This window comes from Homo sapiens, chromosome 3 (assembly GCF_000001405.40).
Source record: "Homo sapiens chromosome 3, GRCh38.p14 Primary Assembly".
Classification (NCBI taxonomy): Eukaryota; Metazoa; Chordata; class Mammalia; order Primates; family Hominidae; genus Homo; species Homo sapiens.
The window spans coordinates 160,348,683-160,372,742 of NC_000003.12; the positions used below are offsets into that span (position 1 = coordinate 160,348,683).

At 36.3% G+C, this 24,060-nt stretch overlaps 1 protein-coding gene and 1 long non-coding RNA gene across 6 annotated transcripts in view; both read right to left on the reverse strand.

Moving 5' to 3' along the window:
• TRIM59-IFT80 (TRIM59-IFT80 readthrough (NMD candidate)) overlaps window positions 1–24,060 on the reverse strand; it is a 258,294-nt gene that overhangs the window by 121,229 nt on the left and 113,005 nt on the right. For all 3 annotated transcript variants that reach the window (NR_148401.1, NR_148403.1, NR_148402.1), the window contains 3 exons: window positions 17,361–17,470; window positions 8,807–8,896; window positions 7,331–7,468 (listed from right to left, as the gene is read on the reverse strand). This is a non-coding gene — a long non-coding RNA (TRIM59-IFT80 readthrough (NMD candidate)). The remainder of the gene's footprint in view (window positions 1–7,330; window positions 7,469–8,806; window positions 8,897–17,360; window positions 17,471–24,060) is intronic.
• Window positions 1–24,060, reverse strand: part of IFT80 (intraflagellar transport 80) — a 142,240-nt gene that overhangs the window by 91,697 nt on the left and 26,483 nt on the right. For all 3 annotated transcript variants that reach the window (NM_020800.3, NM_001190241.2, NM_001190242.2), the window contains 3 exons: window positions 17,361–17,470; window positions 8,807–8,896; window positions 7,331–7,468 (listed from right to left, as the gene is read on the reverse strand). In NM_020800.3, coding sequence (NP_065851.1) covers window positions 7,331–7,468; window positions 8,807–8,896; window positions 17,361–17,470 — 338 coding nt within the window. The remainder of the gene's footprint in view (window positions 1–7,330; window positions 7,469–8,806; window positions 8,897–17,360; window positions 17,471–24,060) is intronic.

Sequence of the window (24,060 nt, forward strand, 5' to 3'; positions counted from 1 at the left end):
CCACTAAGTGTCCATTAACTGATTAATAAACAAAATGTGTTATAAACATGTGATGAAATATTATTTGTCTATAAAAAAGAATAAAGTACTGGATACATGGATTAATCTTGAAAACATGCTAACTGAAAGAAGTCAGTCACAAAAGGCCACATAATGTGTTATTTCATTTATATGAAATGTCCAAACTTGACAAATCTATAGGAAAAAAAGTAGATTAGTGGTTGCCAGGGACTAGGAATAGAGTAGGGAAAAATAGGGATTGACAGTTAATGGGTACACAATTCCTTTTAGAGGAGAGGAAAATGTTCTAAAATTAGAGTTTTGTAACGGTTGCACAACCCTATGAATATAGTAAAAAACACTTTTTTTAATTGGGTACATTTTAAATGGGTAAAATGTGTCATATACAAATTGTATCCTGATAAATTTGTTTCTTTAAAAAAGCAGCCAGAAACTTGAGTCAATGGTTGAAAGAAGAGAACAGGGCTGGGCACCATGGCTCACCCTATAATCCCAGCACTTTGGGAGGCCGAAGCGAGTGGATCACCTGAGGTCAGGAGTTCGAGACCAGTCTGGCCAACATGGAAAAACCCCGTCTCTAATAAAAAATGCAAAAATTCGCTGGGTACTGTGGCAGGTGCCTGTAATCCCAGCTACTCGGGAGGCTGAGGCAGGAGAATCTCTTGAACCCAGGAGGCAGAGGTTGCAGTGAGCCGAGATCGCTCCACTGCACTCCAGCCTGGGTAACAGAGCTAGACTCCCTCTCAAAAAGAAAAAAAAAAAGGAACACTGCACCTCAACTAAAAATTTGTGAAGAGCTCTCAAACACTAAATAGAAATTTTATAAATTTGTGGAAAATGCTAGGGTATAGATCATTCCTGGAGATTAGATTCTTATATATCTGATATTGAAATTCTTTCACAAAATCTGGCCCTGGATAAATACCACTTTAAGTTACAGATTATGAGAGAAACAAAAAGAAACAAGGGGCTACATTTAAGGGTAACATTTCCAGATTCAAGAAAACATGTACTTTTTAAAAGAAGCCTTGGCAAGTTTTTTTTCGAAAGAGAAAACATTGTGTGAGAAAAGCAGCTGACATAAGCTGACTTAAATTTTCAGGTCTAAATTGACACCATTAAGAGTAAGTTGGGTCAACTTACTCTAAGCTGACACCAGCAGTTACCATATCTACTTACTTGGTAAGAAGAAAAGGTGAAGAGTCTCAATAAGCGATGCCCTTCTTATCTTTCATCACACTAACCTGCTTTGACCCTCCAGACATTAGTTCTCATTACTAACAGCAGCCTGTTCCTGTTTTTAAAATTTATTACAACTATAATTAAATAACTGAGTGTATAATTAATGTTTTAATATATGTCTTATCAACAAGAAAGTAAACTCTATAAAGGCAATTTCTGCTTGGGATTCTTAAAAAAGATATGCAGAGGCCGGGCATGGTGGCTCATGCCTGTAATCCTAGCACTTTGGGAGGCCAAGACGAACAGATCACTTGAGCTCAGGAGTTCAAGACCAGCCTGGGCAATATGGTGAAACCCCGTATCTACTAAAAATACAAAAAATTAGCTGGGAGTGGTGGTGGACGCCTGTAGTCTCAGCTACTTGGGAGGCTGAGGCACAAGAATCACTTGAACCCGGGAGGCAGAGATTGCAGTGAGCTGAGATATTGCCACTGCACTCCAGCCTGGGTGACAGAGCAAGACTCTGTCTCAAAAAAAAAAAAAAAAGGATATGCAGAAAGTATTTACATACTTTTTTTTAACTCAAAATGCTCATAGCATTTATATCTTAGTGAGTAGAATTATTCCCCAATAAAGATGTATGCCACCAGGCAGGACACGGTGGCTCATGCCTGTAATCTCAGCACTTCGGGAGGCCGAGGCAGGTGGATCACGAGGTCAAGAGATTGAGACCATCCTGGCCAACATGGGGAAGCCCCACCTCTACTAAAAATACAAAAATTAGCTGGGCGTGGTGATGTGCGCGTGTAGTCCCAGTTACTTGTGAGGCTGGAGCAGGAGAATCGCTTGAATCCAGGAGGTGGAAATTGCAGTGAGCCGAGATTGTGCCACTGCACTCCAGCCTGGCGACAGAGCGAGGCTCCGTTTCAAAAAAAAAAACGTATGTTACCTGAAAAATAGTTTCCCATATTTTAACTAATACATATTTCTAAAATAACTTGATAGCTTCAAAAGACAACATTTCTTAAAAAGAGAAAGAAGGCTGAATTACATGATTAGAGAATCTAGGGAAAGCTAAATAAAATAAAGGATAAAGCTATTTTTTCCCTTTTCAAAACCTGTACATTTTATTTGAAAATGTACATTTTTTAAATGTACATTTTGAAAATGTAGATATGCAAAAAAGAAGAAAAATCACCTATCACCACTTATGACTAAATCACCAAACTCCAGACATAACCATTGTTAAAATTTGTTATATCACGTCAGACTATTTTTCTGTTCATTTATACAGATATATACTAATAAGATCACCCTATGCATAAAGTTTGTAACTACTTTTTTCTTGTGGTCATATATTTTAAAACATTTTCATGGTATTATAAAAGTAATTATCATTTTTAATAACAATATAATAATTAATTATAAGAATTATATTCCATAATTAAGTTAAATAATATCTTACTGTTAGAGATTTAGATTGCTTTTCATTTGTTAAATTATAAAGAATGTTCCACTAAGCCTTCTTTATCTTATTATTACCTTAGGATAAATCCTAAAACTGGAATTGCTGGGTTAAAGTATATGTTTATTTCTTGGGCTTTTGATATATAGTATCAAAATATCCTCCAGAAAGATTTGAACAAATATATATATACACATATATTATATGTATATATATATACACACATATATTATATGTATATATAATATATATATTTGTATATATTATATATATAGTATATATAGACATACATGAATACATACATATGCATACATACACACATAAATAACACATTAAGTAACTCATAAAAATCTAAATATTAAGTAACATAAAAATCTAAATGATAACTGTATAAAAGGATATATTACAGGGTTAATACAAACCTTGCAAAAAGAAATGATTGCATAAATGAATTCCAAATCCTTTTGTGAAAATACACAAGGCAGAAAATGAGCAAAAAAACTATTGATAATTCAATGAATGAAAGTTAAGTGTTTGAATAGTATTTACAACTAGCTATTCTGAAAGAATCAGTCTAGAACATTAAGAGATAATACCATCACACATATGATTCATATACTATCAACATTTTTGCTGCAGCAAAGTGGCAGACATAACACAATAGTAATTTTTTTTTTTTTTTTGAGACAGAGTCTCTCTCTGTCACCCAGGCTGGAGTGCAGTGGTGCGATCTTGGCTCACTGCAAGCTCTGCCTCCCGGGTTCACGCCATTCTCCTGCCTCAGCACCCGCCACCACGCCCGGCTAATTTTGTTTTTGTATTTTTAGTAGAGACGGGGTTTCACCATGTTAGCCAGGATGGTATCGATCTCCTGACCTCGTGATCTGCCTGCCTCGGCCTCCCAAAGTGCTGGGATTACAGGCGTGAGCCACCACGCCCGGCCCCCAACAGTAATTTTAAATGAAGAAGATGCTTAGAACAAGTCAGAAGAATAAATTACCTGAGATTTTTAAGAAATGTAATTTTTTCTATTATACTATTCTTTTTTGGTATCACCTGCGTTATAGTTTGCTATTTCATCTCCAAATTCAAGGTATTTTTTCTACAGTAGACTAAGCATTGCCCATTTCAGGACTTAAAAGGAATATCAAGCATCTCACTAAGTCTTCCTTCAAGTGCCCTCTGAGGACAGCCTGCATAAAGACAACTAGGAAACTTCCTAAAAATACCACTTCACAGAGCCTCATTCTCTGAGATTTTGATTCTCCATATTGCAAATAGTGCCCAAGAATGTGTATTTTTGCAATACCCAGGTGATGCTTATGAATGCTGAAATTTAGGTAACTTGGTTTACTATCGTAATGATTGAACAGGGCATCACATCATGAAAGGGCATTATCCTCAGGCAAACACCCAGACAATAAGGAATGGAAACTCAGGTAATTATTCTTGTCTCTTTCTACTTATACAGCAAGGATTTATCTCCTGAACCTGTCTATTTCTTTCCATCTCCACTGCTACTTCCCTATTATTCAGGCCAACGTCATCATTTTCTTGTACTACAACAGCTCCTAATTAGCCATCCTGCCTCTAGTGTACCTCTACTCTAATCTGTCCTCTATGATGATCTTAGAGTATGCTTCCCCAAAAATGCCAAATCTAATAAGGTAACTATCTAAAATTGATCAGTGACTCACCATTGCCCATAAGATAAACTCCAAACTATTGTGGCCATACTAAATTCTTAATTTTTCTAATAAACTATGATACCTCACCTTTGTTTATTCTATTCCTTCTCTCGAATCACTGTTCCTTTCACCTCAAAGCAGTATTTCCAACATTTGAATACTACCATGTTACTACACACCATCCATGGCTCTCTACTGACTAATATACTCAATTGCCAACCTCACTGTTTTTCAGCTGTTCAAAGAAAATCTTATATTAGACGCTCAAACAGTATAACCGGAACTGCTCTGGTTGCAGGTAGTGAGAGAGATCAGGGGCTCAACTCCCTCACCTCTTTTCTACCCCACAGCAACCCCAAAGGAGGCTCCACAGAACAGAATTAGATTTTAAAAGACTGAAATCTGGATTCTGTTGCATGGCAAACACTTTAGTCCATCTATCTTTTCTGTATTATCTCCTGGTATTATGCCATGAAAATTTTACAGACATTGCACAAAAAGCACCATACTCTTTTGTACTTTGATTCACAAGAGGTTTCTTTTGCCTGTAACTCTCTTCCCCAACTTTGTCTCCTTGGAGAACTACTAATTCTTCAAGGCTCTGCTCTCTAGTCAATGTCCCACAGGCTGAGTTAGGCTCTTCCACACCCTTGCAGTGCTTGTATAAAAAACTTCCTGTATAGCACTTGTCATAATGTACTGTAAGTCTTATAGTCTAATTCTCCACTAGACTGTCAACAACTTGAGTAAAAGTCTTTATATCTTTTTCTTATTTATACCCCCAGTTTCTAGAACACTGTCTGATGAGTAGTATATATTTAATGTCTATTAAATAAAAGATAGAGGTTAACATTCTAAATAAAACGACTAGATGCCTAACGAGGTAAACCTTTAATATGTTTTTAAAATTTTAAAATATTTTAATCAAAATGACAAAATAAAATTATGTTTAAATTGGCTTATTAATAAATTGTTGAGTATCTACTGTGTTGTACAGATAATACAGAATTATTGAACTATTGGATTTTATAAACTAGGGAGTCAAAAATAATATACATGAAACTAAAATTGACAATGTAAGAATGTAATACATTGTGAAAATGAGACTACACATTCTATAGATTTAGAATCATTGATAGGGAAAATCAGAGGTAAAAGCTCCTTAAGTGATTAGATGGGATGATCTAACATCCTGATGTTGTAATTGAGAAAGGAGGGACCTAGCAGAAAAGAAATTAGAAAAATATACAAACAAACTTTAGAGTCAATGGAAGGCATGATCAAAGGAAGTCAAACTTGAGACAGGCCTTTAAGAATGAGTGGAACTTGGGCCGGGCTGGGTGGCTCACAGCTGTAATCCCAGCACTTTGGGAGGCTGAGGTGGGTGGATCACTAGGTCAGGAGATCGAGACCATCCTGGCTAACACAGTGAAACCCCGTCTCCGCTAAAAACACACCAAAAAAACTAGCCGGGCGTGGTGACGAGTGCCTGTAGTCCCAGCTGCTAGGGAGGCTAAGGTAGGAGAATGGCGTGAACCTGGTAGGCGGAGCCTGCAGTGAGCTGAGACCGCACCACTGCACTCCAGCCTGGGCGACAGAGCAAGGCTCCGTCTCAAAAATAAATAAATAAATAAAATAAAATAAAAAGAATGAATGGGACTCACTATGGTCTAAGACAGAAATCAAAGTATTCCATGAAATGAGAAAATGAGTAGGGATGTTAGTAAGAGGTAGGAAAGGTTCAAAAGCCAGTGTTCAATGTGAGTTGAACACACTTAGAGAGTTGTGGGGGAAAAGACTCAATGGATTTTATGGCACCAGGTTTCAAACAGCTTTTAAAGCTAGGCAGAGGACTTCATATTTTATGTGATAGAAAACAAGTAACCAGAAATCTTAATAGATTAAAAGCTCTAAAAATTCTGTCTTATTCTGCATTAGAGGCAAATAAGCCACAGAACAATTTTATGATTTCCCCAGTTAGGAATAGTATAAAACAGCCACACTCAAACTCTTTTTACCACATAATGCTGCTGCTTTTGGGGTACTTCAACGAACAATTCATTCAAGTACAATGGGTAAATGCTGCTGAGCTTGGCTATTTCCCCAGGTTCTAAACAGAATTTGTATGAAGGAGGGCATATTCTCTTGTGAGGAAAAATTCTTGCATGTATTCAAATATGAATTCTTGATAAAGAAAAATATGCCCTTTGGTTATTTATTTATTTATTTAGAGACAGGGTCTAATTCTCATCCAGGCTGGAGTACAGTGGCATGATTATAGCTTGCTACAGCCTCCACCTCCTGGGCTCCAGTGAGCCTCCCACCTCAGTCTTCCCAGTAGCTGGGACCACAGGTATGCACCATCATGCCTGGCAAATTTTTCAATTTTTTTTATACAGACAGAGTTTCACTCTGTTACCCGGGCTGGTCTCAAACTCCTGGGCTCAAGCAATCCTCCCTCCTTGGACTCCGGAAGTGCTGGGATTACAGGCATGAAACACCACATCCAGCCATGTCCTCTGGTCTTAAAATGACTATTTTTCCAATGCACTATTAATTTCTTACGCAAAATATGCAATCGAGATTTCGTATGAAACATATTGACAGCAAAAAAAAAATAAAAGTTTATAAGCTTCAAGTCAGTGAAAGGTTAGAAAAAAAAAGTTTAAAACTGAATTTTCCATATTGAATGGGCATAAATTTTAATACTTTAACTACTTCATCCTTCACAATCATGCTCAAAATAATATTTCCAGAAAGACAAATAGTAGAGATCGTGCCCATGCTTCAAACTTAAACAGATTTTGGTCCCATATATCTGGAATTGATTGAACCAGCATATTAAGAAGACAAATCAGAAAGATTCAACCAGATGCATCCATTGAAAATGTTTTTTAAAGACTGAGAACCATGTGTGTTGTGCATTACCACATTTATGACAGCACATCTGTGATTGCTCACCACTATAACTTACCCCAGTTTTATCACACAAGCGTAAAGTATGAAACGATCCAACAGCAAATAATTCTCCATCTGGAGCCCAGGCAACTGAAGTAATGGGATGCTCATGAGGTTGTGAATTGTACAGTGGGCGGCCGTAACTATCCCATACCTACAAAAGCAATTTTTAAAAATCTTTTATAATATCAGGGAGAAGTTTGCAAAAACTAAAAGAAAAATAAATAAATAAAATAAAAATGTTTTATAACAGACACCACATAAAAACAAGTTTGTCTTCCAGTAAGGTAGTAAATAAAAATTTAGAAATCAGCACCTTATATATTAGCAATTAAACGTCTTTACTATCACACAAGGGGAAAACAAAGCTGTATTCCTTTAAGCCTAAATGTCTCAAAAAGAAACTATTTTATAACACTGTCATAATTTTCAGATTTTACTAAATCTCTGAACATAAAATCTACCCATTTTAAGTCCTTTTAAATATAATAGTACATTTTGAAATGTTTAGTTCTTAGCTTTGTTTTGTTTTTTGAATTTTAGAGACAGGGTCTCACTCTGTGGCCCAGGCTGGAGTACAGTAGCATGATCATAGCTCACTGCAGTCTTGATCTCCTGGGCTCAAGAGATCTTCCTGCTTTAGCCTTCCAAATAAGCAAGGACTACAGGTACATGCTGCCATACTTGGCTAATTTTTAAATTTTTGTAGAGATGGGGTCTTGTTATATTGCCTAGGCTATTCTCCAACTCCTGGTCTCAAGTAACCCTACTGCCTTGGCCTCTCAAAGCACTGGGGTTATAGGTATGAGCTACCATACCTAGCTTGCTTACCATTTTGCTTAAATTTTTTCTCCCTGTAAGGGCTCTACCTACTTTCTCTAAAAGTATTTATTTCAATTTAATTGCCTCTAACTCTAGTTATTAATACATTAAACCTTATTCCTCTCTACAAATTATTTTGACCTGAAATTGATCAATATTTAGTAAACCAGCAGGGTTAATTTTTAAAAACATACTGAACTGAACTCAAATTGAGTCACGGTAAAATTAGGGGCTATACTGATATTGTTACTTATTAAATATCAAACTCTATAGATCAATGAGATAGTCTTTCTTTTTCTGAGAGAGGGTCTCACTTTGTTGCTCAGGCTGGAATGCAGTGGCACAATTATGGCTCACTGCAGCCTCAACCACCTGTGCTCAAGTGATCCACTCACCTCAGCCTCCCAAGTAGCTGGGACCACAGATGTGCTCCATCACAACTGGCTAATTTTTTTTTGTAGAGGTAGGGCCTCACTGTGTTGTCCAGGCTAATGAGATAGTTTTTATGAAGTCCATGCTTTAAAATACCACTTAACATTATAAAATAATTTGCTAAATTACTGGAGTAAAAAGACATGGCTAAAGTAAAAAACTAAAAGAATATTCTTATATGCTAAGTACTTATAAATTTGATTATTTCAGCCAAGTGATAAATCTAAACATTATATACCTTATATTTACAGTCTTCACCAGCAGATAAAATAAGATCATTGACCGAGTTCCAATCTACTTTTAAAATAATGCCATCATGAGCTTTCCACTGTGAGAAAAAAGAATAAGATATTAATTATAAGTTTAAAAGCACTTAAGTTTTTTTCTGTAAGAAATATATTTTGCCTCTTTCTAATGACTCCTTTGTCATCTTCTCAGGGATTCCTATCTTCCTTTTATAGCCAATGTACAATACCTCATTTGCTTGTTTCATTTGTAATTTATACTAATGTAAGCACCTAGCACCTAAGACATCCACTATATAGCCTCAAACCTTATGAATTTCCTCAGTTGCCTGGACTCCAGATGGAAAATGACTTGCTGCTGAACTATTTCAAGCCGGACATTTGTACAATAACACTGAATGAATATGTTATGTATTCCAAAAATGTCAACTGAATCCAAATCTTGCTTTCTCCTTCATATAGCAGATTCCATTACTGATACTGCCTTCATGCTTGTTTACTTATTTATTTTATTTATTTATTTATTTATTTTTGAGACAGGGTCTCACTGTCACGCAGGTTGGAGTTCAATGATGTGATCAGGGCAACTGCAGTCTCGACCTCCCACATTCAAGCAATCCTCCTGCCTCAGCCTCCCAAGTAGCTGGGACTACAGGGACATGCCACCACACCCAGCTACTTTTTTTTTTTTTTCATTTTTGGTAGATAACTCTTGCTATATTGCCTAGGCTAGTCTCAAGCTCCTGGGCTCAAGTAATCCTCCTGCCTTGGCCTCCCAATGTGCGGGGATTACAGGCGTGAGCCACCATGTTCAGCCCCCCTCAACCATTTTTTTTTTAAACTTCTGCACAAACATCTTTACTACCCTCTTCATTTCATTCTGTTCGTCATATTCTTCTAAGTTTCATTCACTTTATCTTCATGTGTCTGGTTTACAACTGGACTACTCTGAGAAACTTCTGCTGTATTTACCATGTAACAAAAAGATGTTTTCCATAGATAAGTATATATTCTATACATTCATTCTTTGGTATACAGTCATTCTTTGGTATCTGTGGGGGATTGGTTCCAGTACCTCCCATTGATATGAAAATCGTTAAGTTCTGCCTTGGCCTCCCAAAGTGCTGGGATTACAGGCATGAGCCACCGTGCCCAGCCATGGATTCTTAAGAGTTTCATTTTAAAGGAACAAAATAAATATTGCGTATTCAAGATTTATGAATAAAATATGATTTAAATTTTCCTTACACTGTAATTTAGGGTATCAACATATATTACAAATATTTGCATATTGTTAAACATATAATAATTTTTATTTATTTATTAATGTATTAGGCATTTTGTAAAATTCCTTTGAACAAGAAGCTCCTTGAAGGCAGAAACTATGTTCTGTTTCATTTTGACTATCTCATACCTACCACAGTGCCTGGTATATAACAGGTATGCATTACATTTTTATTCAACGAATAAATAAAAATTTCCTCACTATAAGACCAAGTTCGAAGTGTTGAGAAGGCCTTAAAAGACATGAGGTATATACTTCTGAACTGCATTCCACAAGCAAGAATTAATTAAGCACACTTTTTTGTGGACAATCCTAATTTGAATATGTTTTTATGCTCAAGAAGAATTGCAGCTGCTTTAGTCTCCCAAAAGGAATAGATAATTTGCATGAAGTTACTAATTATACTTTAAGTCCTGTTTCTCTCTAGCTAATTTTGGCAATGGATACTTTGATTCACTCTACTACCTCCTGGCCCAGAGGTTCTACTGAACCACTAAGCCATATTTAACTTGACCAATTGTGATATAACCAGCTTCCTGAGTTTCATTTCTATAAGCCTAATTACAGGTATCTAAACAAATTTACAGGGACACCATTCCAAGATGGCTGAATAGGAATAGCTCTGGTCTGCAGCTCCCAGTGTGATCGACACAGAAGACGGGTGATTTCTGCATTTTCAACTGAGCTCTGAAGAGAGCAGTGGTTCTCCCAGCACGGCGTTTGAGCTCTGAGAATGGACAGACTGCCTCCTCAAGTGGGTCCTTGACCCCCGTGTAGCCTAACTGGGAGACAGTTAGGGGCCGATTGACACCTCATACAGGCAGATTGACACCTCTGGGACTAAGCTTCCAGAGGAAGGATCAGGCAGCAATATTTGCTGTTCTGCAATATTTGCTATTCTGCAGCCTCTGCTGGTGATACCCAGGCAAACGGCCTGAAGTGGACCTCCAGCAAACTCCAACAGACCTGCAGTTGAGGGTCCTGACTGTTAGAAGGAAAACTAACAAACAGAAAGGAATAGCATCAACATCAACAAAAAGGACATCCACACCAAAACACCATCTGTAGGTCACCAACATCAAAGACCAAAGGTAGATAAAACCACAAAGATGGGGAGAAACCAGAGTAGAAAAGCTGAAAATTCTAAAAACCAGAACACCCCTTCTCCTCCAAAGGATCGCAGCTCCTCGCCAGCAATGGAACAAAGCTGGACAGAGAATGACTTTGATGAGTTGACATAACTAGGCTTCAGAAGGTCAGTAATAACAAACTTCCCCAAGCTAAAGGAGCATGTCCTAAGCCATCACAAGGAAGCTAAAAACCTTGAAAAAAGATTAGATGAATGGCTAACTAGAATAAACAGCGTAGAGAAGACCTTAAATGACCTGATGGAACTGAAAACCATGGGATGAGAACTACTTGACACATGCACAAGCTTCAGTAGCTGATTCGATCAAGTGGAAGAAAGGGTATCAGTGATTGAAGATCAAATTAATGAAATAAAGTGAGAAGAGAAGTTTAGACAAAAAAGAGTAAAAAGAGACGAACAAAGCCTCCAAGAAATATGGGACTATGTGAAAAGACCAAATCTACATTTGATTGGTGTACCTGAAAGTGATAGGGAGAATGGAACGAAGTTGGAAAACACTCTTCAGGATATTATCCAAGAGAACTTCCCCAACCTAGCAAGGCAGGCCAACATTAAAATTCAGGAAATACAGAGAACACAACAAAGATACTCCTCAAGAAGAGCAACCCCAAGACACATAATTGTCAGATTCACCAAGGTAGAAATGAAGGAAAAAATGTTAACGGCAGCCAGAAAGAAAGATCGGGTTACCCACAAAGGGAATCCCATCAGACTAACAGCAGATCTCTCAGCAGAAACTCTACAAGCCAGAAGGGAGATTGGGGGCCAATATTCAACATTCTTAAAGGAAAGAATTTTCAACCCTGAATTTCATATCTGACCAAACTAAGCTTCATAAGTGAAGGAGAAATAAAATCCTTTACAGACAAGCAAATGCTGAGAGATTTTGTCACCACCAGGCCTGCCTTACAAGAGCTCCTGAAGGAAGCACTAAACATGGAAAGGAACAACCAGTACCAGCCACTGCAAAAACATGCCGAATTGTAAAGACCATTGATGCTAGGAAGCATCTATGGGCAACTAATGGGCAAAATAACCCAACTAATGGGCAAAATAACCAGCTAACATCACGTCAGGATCAAATTCACACATAACAATATTAACCTTAAATGTAAATGGGCTAAATGCCCCAATTAAAAGACACAGACTGGCAAATTGGATGAAGAATCAAGATCCATCAGTGTGCTGTATTCAGGAGAACCATCTCACATGCAGAGACACACATAGGCTCAAAATAAAGGGATGGAGGAAGATCTACCAGGCAAATGGAAAGCAAAAAAAGCAGGGGTTGCAATCCTAGTCTCTGTTAAACAGACTTTAAACCAACAAAGATCAAAAGGGACAAAGAAGGCCATTACCTAATGGTAAAGGGATCAATTCAACAAGAAGAGCTAACTATCCTAAATACATATGCACCCAATACAGGAGCACCCAGATTCATAAAGCAAGTCCTTAGAGACCTAAAAAGAAACTTGGACTCCCACACAATAATAATGGGAGACTTTAACACCCTACTGTCAATATTAGACAGATCAACAAGACAGAAGGTTAACAAGGATATCCAGGACTTGAACTCAGCTCTGCACCAAGCAGACCCAATAGACATCTACAGAACTCTCCACCCCAAATCAACAGAATACACATTATTCTCAGCACCACACCACACTTATTCCAAAATTGACCGCATAGCAGGAAGTAAAGCACTCCTCAGCAAATGTAAAAGAACAGAAATCACAACAAACTGTCTCTCAGACCACAGTGCAATCAAATTAGAACTCAGGATTAAGAAACTCACTCAAAACCACTCAACTACATGGAAACTGAACAACCTGCTCCTGAATGACTACTGGGTACATAACGAAATGAAGGCAGAAATAAAGATGTTCTTTGAAACCAATGAGAACAAAGACACAATGTACCAGAATCTTTGGGACACATTTAAAGCAGTGTGTAGAGGGAAATTTATAGCACTAAATGCCCACAAGAGAAAGCAGGAAAGATCTAAAATTGACACCCTAACATCACAATTAAAAGAACTAGAGAAACAAGAGAAAACACATTCAAAAGCTAACAGAAGGCAAGAAATAACTAAGATCAGAGCAGAACTGAAGGAGATAGAGACACAAAAAACTCTTCAAAAAAATCAATGAATCCAGGAGCTGGTTTTTTGAAAAGATCCACAAAATTGATAGACCACTAGCAAGACTAATAAAAGGAGAAGAGAGAAGAATCAAATAGATACAATAAAAAATGATAAAGGGGATATCGCCACTGATTTCACAGAAATACAAACTACCATCAGAGAATACAATCAACACCTCTACGCAAATAAAATAGAAAATCTAGAAGAAATCGATTAACTCCTGGACACATATGCCCTCCCAAGACTAAACCAGGAAGAAGTTGAATAGACTGATAACAGGCTCTGAAATTGAGGCAATAATTAATAACCTACCAACCAAAAAAAGTCCAGGACCAGACAGATTCACAGCCGAATTCTACCAGAGGTACAAAGAGGAGCTGGAACCATTCCTTCTGAAATTATTCCAATCAATAGAAAACGAGGGAATCCTTCCTAACTCATTTTATGAGGCCAGCATCATGCTGATACGAAAGCCTGGCAGAGACACAACCAAAGAAGAGAATTTTAGACCAATATCCCTGATGAACACCGATGCAAAAATCCTCAAAAAAAGTACTGGCAAACTGAATCCAGCAGCACATCAAAAAGCTTATCCACCATGATCAAGTTGGCTTCATCCCTGGGATGCAAGGGATTCAACATACGCAAATAAAGAAACGTAATCCATCACATAAACAGAACCAACGACAAAACCACATGATTATCTCAATAGATGCAGAAAAGGCCTTCGACAAAATTCAACAGCCCTTCATGCTAAAAACTCTCCATAAACTAGGTATTGATGGAACATATCTCAAAATAATAAGAGCTACTTATGACAAACCCACAGCCAATATCATACTGAATGGGCAAAAACTGGAAGCATTCCCTTTGAAAACTGGCACAAGACAGGGATGCCCTCTCTCACCATTCCTATTCAACATAGTGTTGGAAGTTCTGGCCCGGGCAATCAGGCAAGAGAAGGAAATAAAGGGTATTCAATTAGGAAAAGAGGAAGTCAAATTGTCCCTGTTTGCAGATGACACAATCGTATATTTAGAAAACCCCATTATCTCAGCCCAAAATCTCCTTAAGCTGATAACCAACTTCAGCAAAGTCTCAGGATACAAAATCAGTATGCAAAAATCACAACCATTTCTATACACCAATGACAAACAGAGAGCCAAATAATGAGTGAACTCCCATTCACAATTGCTACACAGATACTAAAATACCTAGGAATCCAACTTACAACGGATGTGAGGGACCTCTTAAAGGAGAACTACAAACCACTGCTCGACAAAATAAAGGAGGACACAAACAAATGGAAGAACATTCCATGCTTATAGATACGAGGAATCAGTATCGTGAAAATGGCCATACTGCCCAAAGTAATTTATAGATTCAATGCCATCCCCATCAAACTACCAATCACTTTCTTCACAGAACTGGAAAAAACTACTTTAAAGTTCATACGGAACCAAAAAGAGCCTGCATTGCCAAGACAATCCTAAGCAAAAAGAACAAAGCTGGAGGCATCACGCTACCTGACTTCAAACTATACTACAAGGCTACCACAACAGCATGGTACTGGTACCAAAACAGAGATACACAGCAATGGAACAGAACAGAGCCCTCAGAAATAACACCATACATTTACAACCATCTGATCTTTGACAAACCTGACAAAAACAAGAAATGGGGAAAGGATTCCCTATTTAATAAATGGTACTGGGAAAACTGGTTAGCCATATATAGAAAGCTGAAACTGGTTCCCTTCCTTACACCTTATACAAAAATTAATTCAAGATGGGTTAAAGTCTTAAATGTTAGACCTAAAACCATAAAAATCCTAGAAGAAAATCTAGGCAATACCATTCAGGACATTGGCATTGGCAAGGACTTCATGACTAATACACCAAAAGCAATGGCAACAAAAGCCAAAATAGACAAATGGGATCTAATTAAACTAGAGCTTCTGCACAACAAAAGAAACTACCATCAGAGTGAACAGGCAACCTACAGAATGGGAGAAAATTTTTGCAATCTACCCATCTGACAAAGGGCTAATATCCAGAATCTACAAAGAACTTAAACAAATTTATAAGAAAAAAACAACCCCATCAAAAAGTGGGCAAAGGATATGAACAGACGCTTCTCAAAAGAAGACATTTATGCAGCCAACAGATACATGAAAAAATGCTCATCAACACTGGTCATCAGAGAAATGTAAATCAAAACCACAATGAGATACCATCTCACACCAGTTAGAATGGTGATCATTAAAAAATCAGGAAACAACAGTGCTGGAGAAGATATGGAGAAACAGGAATCCTTTTACACTGTTGGTGGGAGTGTAAACTAGTTCAACCACTGTGGAAGACAGGGTGGCAATTCCTCAAGGATGTAGAACTAGAAATACCATTTGACCCAGCCATCCCATTACTGGGTATATACCCAAAGGATTATAAACCATGCTACTATAAAGACACATGCATACATATATTTATGGTGGCACTATTCACAATAGCAAAGACTTGGAACCAATACAAATGTCCATCAGTGATGGACTGGATTAAGAAAATGTGGCACATATACACCATGGAATACTATGCAGCCATAATACAGGATGAGTTCATGTCCTTTGCAGGGACATGGATGAAGCTGGAAATCATTATTCTCAGCAAACTATCACAAGGACAGAAAACCAAACACCGCATGTTCTCACTCATAGGTGGGAACTGAACAATAAGAACACTTGTACACAGGACAGGGAACATCACACACCAGGGCCTGTCGTAAGGTGGGGGGCTGGGGGAGGGATAGCATTAGGAGAAATACCTAATATAAATGATGAGTTAATGGGTGCAGCAAACCTACATGGCACATGTATACCTATGTAACAAACCTGCACATTGTGCACATGTACCCTAGAACTTAAAGTATAATTAAAAAAAAAAGAAAAAAAAACAAATTCACATAACTATAAACTAAAGGTATAAACTAAAAGATTCAACTTGTCTGTTTTTGCTGTATAAATTTCATAGCAGATTTTCAGCGTAGGTAATTGGCATGGAAGGACTTTGACTAAGAGCCATCAAAACTAGTCCTCTTTCCCAGCTTCTTCCCTTTGCCCAAATTCTTTACCTTAGGTGCCTAAGGACAGGGGCTTGTATGTTCTATTCTTGCATGTCCCTATAGTTCCTAGCAGAGTGTTCTGCACACCATAAAAATGTAAATGCATTTTGGCTGTGTAAAATACATATAGCATAATCTGTACAGATGTTATAATATGGAACCTCAAAGTCATCTCTATGTCCTTATTCCCTAAAATCTACATCTACTCAACTGTGAAAACACTTCTATGCCTGCTGTAGCCTGTCAATGTCTACCAACAAATCTCTTACTCAAGACCTAGTCATTTTACAATGTTTTCCTGGTCTCCTTGGTTGACTAAAAGGTAGAGATGGCACAGCAACTTATAATAGCATAATAATACAGATAATAACAGGTACTGTATATTGAGTGCTTACTGTATGCCCGGAATTGTCCTTTGCACTTTGCAATTTTAACTCATTTAATCCTTACAGCAATCCTGTTAAGCTGATATTAGTGTCACTAACTAAGAGATGTTCTCATCTCTTAGTTGAGATATTGAAGGCTGACATTCAACAATATTTTATAACTTGCCTAAGGTCATGTATAGGTAAGTGAGTGAAGATTTGAACCCAAGTAGCTAACTCCAAAGCCTGTGTTCTTATTAGCAAAACTATGCTGTATCATTATCAAAATGAGTTGGAATAAGGGGAAAACAAACCTTGTTGGAAATATAAAGATATTCCTTGTTCTGTAATAAAGGCTGATTAAACCATGTACTTAAAGACCAGACTGTAAAAAGACCACCCAGAAGAAAGAGACTCCTAAGCAAGTGCCCTCTAGTTTAGCAGTCAGGCAGACCCTGATAACAATTTACAAATGACTGAGAAGTACCTGCAAAACTTTAGCATTTGGTTGAAGAGGTTTAATGATTAGCTGCTTGCCTGCTGTATAAAGAACCTTTTCTGAATCAGGGCCCCACGCTACTGAATACACTGGTGTTCCTGTAAGATGAAAAAAGAAAAAAAAAAGGCTGATAAACTTTAATTATTATGCCTTATAAAAAGAGAGATTGTTAAGAGGATCAAAAAAGCCATATGAGGTGTCATTTCATTTCTTCTCTTTTCAATGGACCTTTCAAATTAGAGTATATAGTCTGATGTTGAAATGCTGACTGGGTTAATATTGACCTTTGAAAATCTACTGTGAGCAACTGACATACTATATTTTTAACTAATTAGGATCTTGCTGAGAAAATATGGAGTTTTTAGAAATTCCATATAGGTGCTATTGAAATACATAAGATAAAATAAATATACTTCATTTTTAATATATAAAGAAATAGCAGAAAAGTCATGATTTATCATTTCCCATCATTGACAGCCATCAGTATGTATTTATTTATTGGCAGCAAATGTTTTTACATTTATTTGCAACTAGTTCAACAAATGATGTTGGTTTAAAGCAGCAGTCTTGGGGCTTGGCTGCACATTGTAATCACCTAGCAAGCTTTTTAAAAATTTTTATTTTTAATTTTTGTGGGTACACAGTAGATATATATATTTATGGGGCACATGAGATCTTTTGATACAGGCATACAATACATAACAATTACATCATGGAAAATGGGGTATCCATCCTCTCAAGCATTTTTCCTTTGTGTTATGAACAATCCAATTGTACTCTCAACCTGTTGTGTTATCAAATACTAGGCCTTATTCATTCATTCATTCTATTTTTGGTACCCATTAACCACCCCACCTCCCTCACAACCCCCTCACTACCTTTCCCAGCATCTTGTTACCATCCTTCTCTCCATCTCCATGGGTTCCATTGTTTTGATTTTTACATCCCACAAATAAGTGAGAACATGCAATGTTTGTCTTTCTGTGCCTGGCTCATTTCACTCAACATAATGAATGAACTACAGTTCCATCCATGTTGTAGCAAATTATTGAATCTCATTTTTTTTATGGCTGAATAGTACTCCACTGTATATAAGTACCACATTTTCTTTATCTAGTCATCTGTTGATGGAAACTTAGGTTGCCTCCAAATCTTGGTATTGTGAACAGAGTTGCAACAAACACAAAAGTGTAGCTATCTCTTTAATATACTGATTTTCTTTCTTTTGGGTATATACCCAGCAATGGAGTTATAGCCATCAGTATTAAACTGACTCAATGCATAAAGTAACTTAAATTTTACATATTAAAATACAAATGGTATACTCACCTTATAAATTAATTATCATACCTGATGCTACAACAGGCAATAGAACTTCCCCTCACATGCTGCTTAAGCAGCAGACTAATGGACAGAAATAACTTCATCCAAAAACAATCTAATAACCTCCCACTCATGAATTCACAAATGGCAAATTTTTTTATATCAGATTAGGGAAAATTTTGTTATCTATTAGGTTTGGCTTTAGCCCAAAAGCTTGGCTAAAAAAAGCTCCAATATCTTATAACTAGCATAAAGTTTACTTCCAGAGGAAAAGTACAAGTTTGATTTACCTACCACTCTATAAACTACATTACACTTGATAGTGTTTTCAATTGCCAATAGGAATTTAGAGACGGTATTTTTAAAATCAATTACATTTAAGTATAGTATTTCTTACCTTAATTACTTTCTAGATTACCTAATGTCTTCTGGAAGACTATACTTTATGTAAGCCTAGTTTTAAAAAATGACTATCATATTTATTGAAAGCATTGGTTATACGGCAGTAAATAATCTGTTTTCCACTTGCCCGGCCCAGCTGCCTAGTCATTAGGCAGGTGAATCAAGGTTATGTAGTTAATCTATGAAATAGTAACCCAACTATATTTACAAAACCATCTTTTAAAAATTGTCTAGGACTCCTAAATCAGACTATTGTAGTAATTGACTTTCTGTGAATCAACGAATCAATGAATAAATGAATGAATCATTAAGGAATTTACATTCTTAGTAGAATGAAATCTGAATTTCAGGGTTTGTGGGCAATCAATAAAATTTAATTGTTTATTCAAATGAAAAGCCCAACTGATGATATAATCAATAAATCAATGTCTTACTGAATAAATTTCAGTAAGACAAATGCTTTTGTTTAAGAGGTACCCTACTTTTTGTGTGCTATTTTCTCCCTAATAAAAACACAATTCAATTGTGAGCAAGTCCCAATGGTTTATACAGGTTAGAAAGTCTAATCTAGACCCAGTCCAAAAAAAAAAAAAAAAAAAACCCTGAAACATGTCTTCCACAGTTCAGGTGTTATAAAATGTCTAAATATCCTGTTTAGTCAATGACATCAAGGATTGTTCTGTATCAAAGGAACCCACAGAAATTCTTCCTGATGAGATGGCCAACCTCAGAAGGTACTCCTCCTTTTTCTGTACTTGATGAGTATATTTTCTGGGAATATTCTCTGGGAGTAGCCAGGAGTTGACCTGTACTTCAAAAATAAATCTCCAAATGAACGAAGTTTAACCTTAATAAACTCCCCAAAAATAGAAGTCAAAATTTCAGATATTTCAAATGTAGTTCTTGGTGAGGACTGGAAAGGAGTGACAGGGACTTACTAGCTAAGGTTGTAGAATTATATAAGCCATCTTTATTTCCATTATTATAGTTATAATTTTTGTACAAAAAAGTAAATTAATGTTTTAATTTATAGCCTATCAAATCTTCATAAATACACTCAGTAAAATTATACTTTCCTGGCGTGTATACCAAACTGTGACAAACATCTACCCTCAAGGAAATAATTCAGTAAATACAACTCCCATTGAGTTATACAGGATGTGACTTTAAGGCTTTAGTTGTGGTAAAAGGCACGGTTGGGGTACAGAATGAGGAACTAAGGACTCTTTAGTCCTCTTAACTTTAACATTTAATTTGTGGTCCCATTAAGTCAGCTATGACACCATTTCCTTGTTTATGAACCTTTCTTCATAGTATTTATCTTCCCTTTTGGGACAAAGAGATAATTCATTTCCTGCTTATAAAACAAATTTGTAAACAATAATGTTAAAGAAACAGGTATAACTTATATAATAAAAGAAAATAAGCTTATAAAGAAAAAGTTAAGTAATTCCTTTGTTATAACATGTGGTTTTTAACCACATTCCTTCAATCAAAATACAAGCAATGGAAACAAATAAATTATTTATTTATGATAAATAAGCATGGTCAATAGACAGGACTCATAGTTACTCTCCTTAACCATTAAAAATTCAAAATGGATATCACATTAAAAACCTTGATCTTTATTATAATCATTCCTTACACTTAAAATATTAAGCATTAAACTACTGTACATATAAACATTTTCTTTTCTAAAAGGAAATAAACTACATAGCTATACAACTTTCAATTTGGGTGGTTCTAATAAAGATCATTATTAAAAGTGGAAGAATCAGCTTCATGAAATAATTTGTATTATTATGAAATCCATCCACTAGCATTTAAAAAATTTATATTTCAAATTTTTAAAATATATTTATTAAAGCATGAATTATTCCCAGTGCTATGTTTCGCTTTGCAAAGTCAGCATGGAAATAACAAACTTAGCCTTTGCATTGAATTACTTTAAAACAGAGTTTAGCAAATTATGTAACAAAATGTTATTTATTTCATCATTAACAAAAATGGGCAAAAAACAAAAAATAGCTTTATAATAAATAGTTTTTTACTTTTTATATTGGAAATTTTAATTTATGCTCCATTTCTGCTAAGACACTCAAAAAGATCTTGTTTTTCTAACTTTGTACACTAAAATCATGTGACCTTTTTGACATTTTTTAAGAAACCACATGCACCTGGGGTTGTGTTAAATGTCAGACCCTTATCTCTCCATAAAACAAATTATCTAAATTCTTTCAACCTGTTGAAGGCATTTTAAACCACAGAAGAGGAGACAAAAATGTATTTCAATTGTTTTAAGGAAGTACATGGTCAAATATACCATGTTTTTCACATTCATACTATAAAAGTATCCCCTAAAAACGCTGTTTTTGTATGTTTTTAAGAATGCCTTTGAAACAAACTGTTCACTACTCTAATAAATTACAGTAGCTATCTTTGCCTTGAATGCAGTATCGGTCTATATTGAGTGAATAGAAGTAAAGTACTTGGAATAGAGTCTGGCACTATATAGCACTATCTGTTAACTACTACAAATTATTTTGTAATAAGCAAGCATTTGCTTACTGTATTGTTCATAGTAGTAGCCATTTGATTTTTTTTTTTTTCTGTTTTGGCCAAATCATTGGCATTCAAACACGAAGAATGATTTCCTTTTCATTTTATTTGTAGGAGACATGAGCTAACAATAGTTAATCAAGTGGGATTTATTCAAAAAATTCCATGCTCCATGCTTACATATATCACTGGATCAATACAAGAAAAAGTTTAAATAAAGGCATTTTTTTTTAAGTTTCTATCTTCAACCACTTCTCCCTTGGGGGGTCTCAACTTCCCCATAGCTTCACCTTTCACTTAATGTAACTTACTCCCAAATTAATATTTTAGCCTTTACCTCTGAGCTCCAACACATTTCTACTTGATCCAAAGAGATCTCCATCACAGAGCTTCAAGTTCTACATATCCAAAACCATCATCCCTCCACATATATTTCCTAATTTATCCCTCTTTGAAGTCTTTACTCTTACAGGGTACATCCCTCTCAGTCTCTGAGAACTATCCACTTTTCCAACTACTGTTGTCACTGCCTCTATTCAAGCCTTAATCGCTGCCTTACTAGCATAGACAATTTGAAATCTTACTGGCCACCTCTATTTAATCTCTACCTCCTCTAGTTTAACTTTATTATTACTGAAAAGGGAATCTGTCTAAAAGATTGGCATTATCTTTACTTTCCTGGTCAATTTTTTAAAGGTTTTGTATGCTTATAGAATAAATGCCAAACCCCTTCTTTTAACATCCAGGACTGTCAGTGTTTTGGTCCCCTTGGCAGTACTATCCTTCACACGGCCTACACTCTGGCCCAAGGAGTTAGCTCCCACTCACCTGACTTTTAGGTCTCACGGTCTTCTGTCTCTAAGCCTCTTATGATGCTAAGCTTCTTAACAGCTTCACTCCAATGCCAACAAGCCCATTTCCTTTCCCATTTCTTCATTCTTCAAAGCCCAGTTCAAAAGATGCTGCAATATTTGCCAGGAACCCTTCCCAATACATTCACTCTCCCCAGAACATTAATCTCCACCCTCTGGTCCACTCCCACCTGCCACCAACAGCACCTTAAGCACATTCCTTTGTATTACAATTATTTATTTATTAATTTGTATTGATTGATTTTTTTTGAGAAAGGGTCTTACTCTGGTGCCCAGGCTGGAGTGCAGCGGCATGATCACAGCTCACTGTAGCCCCAACGCCCACGGGCTCAGATGATCCTCTCACCTCAGCCTTCTGAGTAGCTGGGACTACAGGGATGCACCACTATGCCCGGCTAACTTTTGTATTTTTTGTACAGATGGGGTTTTCCCATGTTGCCCAGGCTGATCTCCAGCTCCTGGGCTCAAGTGATCTGCCCACTTCAGCCTCTCAAGTGTTGAGATTACAGGCATGAGCCACTGTGCCCAGCCACAATTACTTATATTTACAGTTTACCTCCTTAACTGAATTCATTATAGGCAAGTTCCATGTTTTGTTGTTCTATTCCTCCACTTGAAAATAGTGTGGGGAAAATGTCCTTAAAGGTTTGCAGCATTACTTTATATATTTTAATTAGAGATTAAAACTAGAACAATGACACAAAAGATATGGCCTAAGTATAATTATCTCTGGTGTACATATTATTTTTCTCTAATAAGGAACAATAAACTCCCCATAAATACCAGTAAGAATCATTTTTAAACTAAGTCAAATCCCCCCACCCAAAACTGAGATTAAAGTATCTTCTGGATTAGAAGAGAAGTTAATGACTAAAGCTTTTTCTATCTGAACATCTGGCTCCAATAGTCAAGAAATGAATTCAGGAATTAATCTCTATTCATCAAGAAATAAGTATAATGAACACACATAGACAAAGTCACATGGATGCTTCCAACACTTTACAGATTTCCAAATTTTATGATAATTCAGGTTTATATTATTTCATTTTTGTGTCAAAATTTAGTTTCTCCCTTCAAAGGAGGCAGTAGTCTTGCACCCCCAGCTGCCTTGGCCTTCTTACTTGAGCCTTTAGCATCCAACTCTCAGTAGTTCAGATTTACAATCACCCTCAAAACTTGCAGTCTCTAATAGATCAAAGAAATTTTATAAGTAATTAGGGACCTTTCCTTTTGGGTTACTGTCATTATAACAACTTAACTGCTCTACTGATTTTTCCGGAGATGAAAAAGGAAAAGTCTATGCCTTATGAGGAAAGTATAGATGGCACCAATGATTAAACACTCAAAAATCAGATGCATAGTTCTACAGTAAGTTTGTAATTCTTAGTCCAGAAAAAGGTATCAGATTACTCTGTTGAAATACCAAGAGGTTAGCCAAAATGGGAATATCTATCTAATTTAATTCTGCTTATTAATCCATAATTAACAAACTTTGAGAACAATAAAATTAAAATAGGACAAAAATGATAGTC